The sequence below is a fragment of the Homo sapiens genome, chromosome 13, assembly GCF_000001405.40.
Source record: "Homo sapiens chromosome 13, GRCh38.p14 Primary Assembly".
NCBI classification, from domain to species: domain Eukaryota; kingdom Metazoa; phylum Chordata; class Mammalia; order Primates; family Hominidae; genus Homo; species Homo sapiens.
Genome location: NC_000013.11, coordinates 106,601,692 through 106,604,892, shown reverse-complemented (window position 1 = coordinate 106,604,892; position 3,201 = coordinate 106,601,692).

Genomic DNA, 3,201 nt, shown 5'->3' with positions numbered 1-3,201 from the left:
CATAGAATGTTTGAACAGTGTAAAATAGTATAACTTTCTTAAAGAAAAAATTAGCAATTATAGTTAGACTGAAAATGTACACTCTTATAAGGCAGCAATTCCATTTCTAGATAATCTCTTACACATATGATATATAAAATAACATTCATAGAAGCATTACTTATATTAATAAATAAAAAGGAAAAAGCTGGAAACAACCCAAATATCCTTCAACTATAGGAAAGATAAATAATCTGGATATATTCATATAATGCCATACTATACATTGAACATAATTAAGATACACATATCAACATGTTAGAATCCCAATCCCATAATGTTGAGCAAAAAAAGCAAAACTCAAAAACAAAACACAAGTCTAATATTATAATGGACACAATAATATGTTTTACCAAACAGACAAAAAATATGTGTAGTTTAGGGAGACATATAAATTTGGGAAAACTATAAAGAAAGCCTGAGGCTCTCCTTCCCTCTTTCCTTCTTTCCCCTCCTTTCTTTACCTCCTCCTCCTCCTTCTCCTTCTTCTTTCTCTGTCTTTCCCTTTTCTCCCTTTTTTTTCTTTCTCTCCTCTCACCTCCTCTCTCACACTCACTCACTCAATTCCTCTCTCCCCACCTCTTTTTCTCTCCCTTTCTCCCCCTTGAATGAAACTACAACTCAACTTCCCTCCTCTGGCTGGCCTAGGTGCCCTTGCTCTGTTAAAGCTCATTATTTTTATTAAACTCTAGGATCAAAAAAGAGACAGAGAGAGAGAGATAGAGACAGAGACAGAGAGAAGGAAGGAAAGAAACTAGAAAGTATTGGGATGATTATCACAAAGTTTGGGAAAGTGTTTATATCTGTGGGGGCAGGCCACAGTATATGATTTAGAAGTATCACTTGGGGGACTCCTAGGGGCTGGCAACATTTTATGTTACTATTTTAGACATAGATTTTTGAATACCTCTATACATTTATATATGTAATATATAAAGAAATATATATTTATATATGTTTTATATGCCCTCGAATGCATGACCTATTTCACAATACATCTCACATTGTGAAAAGTAAATAGCATGTGAGAGACAGCAATAAATGTAGACAACTTTTTCCAGACGTCTTACTGTGAAAACAGAGCCGAGAACGGCGCTGTAGCCAGAAGAGAATAAAGGTCAATAAAAGATCCTTTAGAATGAAGGTCACTAAAAGATCCTTTTAAAGAAGTGAAACAATACAGCTTGCTTGAGTGCCCACGGGACTGAGCCAGCAAAGAGGGAGAAATGGATGGTGCAGAGCAGAGAGGCAGGGTAACTCCCGAAATAAAGACCTGGTGCAGGTGAGTGAGGAAAGGTGGTGCAGATCATGAAAGAAGGCATTTGCCTCTCAAAAATAGCACCGGTGTCTCACTCTGGTGACAGGAGAGAAAGGGCAGAATCCGGATGTAGACGCAGATAGGTGTGTTGATTTGGTAGCGGAAAGATGAGGGATTTCCCATCTGATTGTTTGCAAGTCAAGGGCAGTGGCTAAGAGAGGGAAGTAGAGGGGGCCAGATACAGGGTTTCAAGAAGAGTTGAAAAGTCACAAAGATCTTGGAAAATATGGTAGAACCATGAGGGAGTGTCGAGTGCTCACATGGGTCTGTGGTCATGAAATTTCAGTGAAACCTTCCACGTGGTATACAATGTTCCCAAGGAATTTCTTTTCTTTTCTTTTCTTTTTTTTTTTTTTGAGACAGAGTTTCACTCTTGTTGCCTAAGCTGGAGTGTAGTGGCATGATCTCGGCTCACTGCAACCTCCACCTCTTGGGTTCAAGTGATTCTCCTGTCTCAGCCTCCTGAGTAGCTGGGATTACAGGCACCTGCCACTACGCTCGGCTAATTTTTGGTATTTTTAGTAGAGATGGGGTTTCATCCTGTTGGCCAGGCTGGTCTCGAACTCCTAACCTCAGGTGATCCACCTGCCTCGGCCTCCCAAAGTGCTGGGATTACAGGTGTGAGCCACTGCGACTGGCCCAGGGAAATTTTAACTTCTAATGGGTGAAAGTGCAGAGGAGCTGGATACTTGGGTTGGGTAGCTGGGTTCACCAAGGTTGGAGGATGAATGTAATCAGTAATTTATCATGAATTACTATAGAAGGAAAGCAATCAGAGAATTGAGAATGTTAGTAAGGGAGGAAAGAATTTGAAACAGTAATGGGTAAGGAAGTGGTAAACTCAAAGAACTGGGGTTCTTGTGTAATTAAAGAATGGTGGAAGGAGACAAGAGCAAATGAGCTGAAGGAAGTAGAGATGGTCCATGCAACACGTGAATGAATGAACCAATTGCAGACTGTTGCCTACTTTGCACATTGCTAGGAAGAGGTCAAGAGGTCCTCATGGCCACCCTGTGAGAAAGCATCCTTAGGGATTATTTGTCTAAACAGCCCCAGGGAGGCCAAAGAGGCTTGACAGGAGGGCTGCCAAATGGGCAAAGTCAACAGGTGCACCTCCGGAGCTCCAGATGGATTTGTAGGGGAGTTATCTGGAGCTTTGAGAGCAGAGGGAGTGGAAGAGTAAATACTGAGTCCTGCTGAGGTTCACAGCAGTCATGCCCAGGCACAGGGAACAGAAACAGGAGGGAAGCCAAGGGGCAGAACTGAGTAAACAAAGAATGAAGTGCATGCTCAGAGGGCAGGCGGGAATCAGGCAAGAGATCCAAAACTGTTCTCACGAAAACTGTTGGTTGGATGCCTCTTGTGTTAGTCTAGGCTCATGGCACAGGGTCGGTGCCAGAGCTCATTCCCATGAAGCAACTGATTGTCATCTCAATACCCTAACCTGGAAGCATCAGGTTTGGAAAAGACAAACAGTGGTTCACCTAGAAAGGATGCTGAGACATCTGTTCACATTTGTACACGAGGGTGAGCACTTGAGTGAGTTCCTCTGTGAAAGGTCACTGAGAAATTGTGGCAAAGAAGAAATTAAGTCTGCAAAGAGCATGAAAACTCCTAGGAGCAGGTTTCTATTTCTTATAAGTCCAAAATTTCAGCATCGGTGAAGAGATGATCTTAGTTTTTCCATGTAAAGGCCTTCAAGCACGAGAAAATAATTAGCATCTGGCAATTCTGAAATCTAGATATGACTGCAGGCTTGCGGCTTTAGTACTCTTTCACACTTTTGCCACACCTAGTCAGAGATTTTAGGAATATTGCACTGCTTCTATTAAGCAAGGATCATG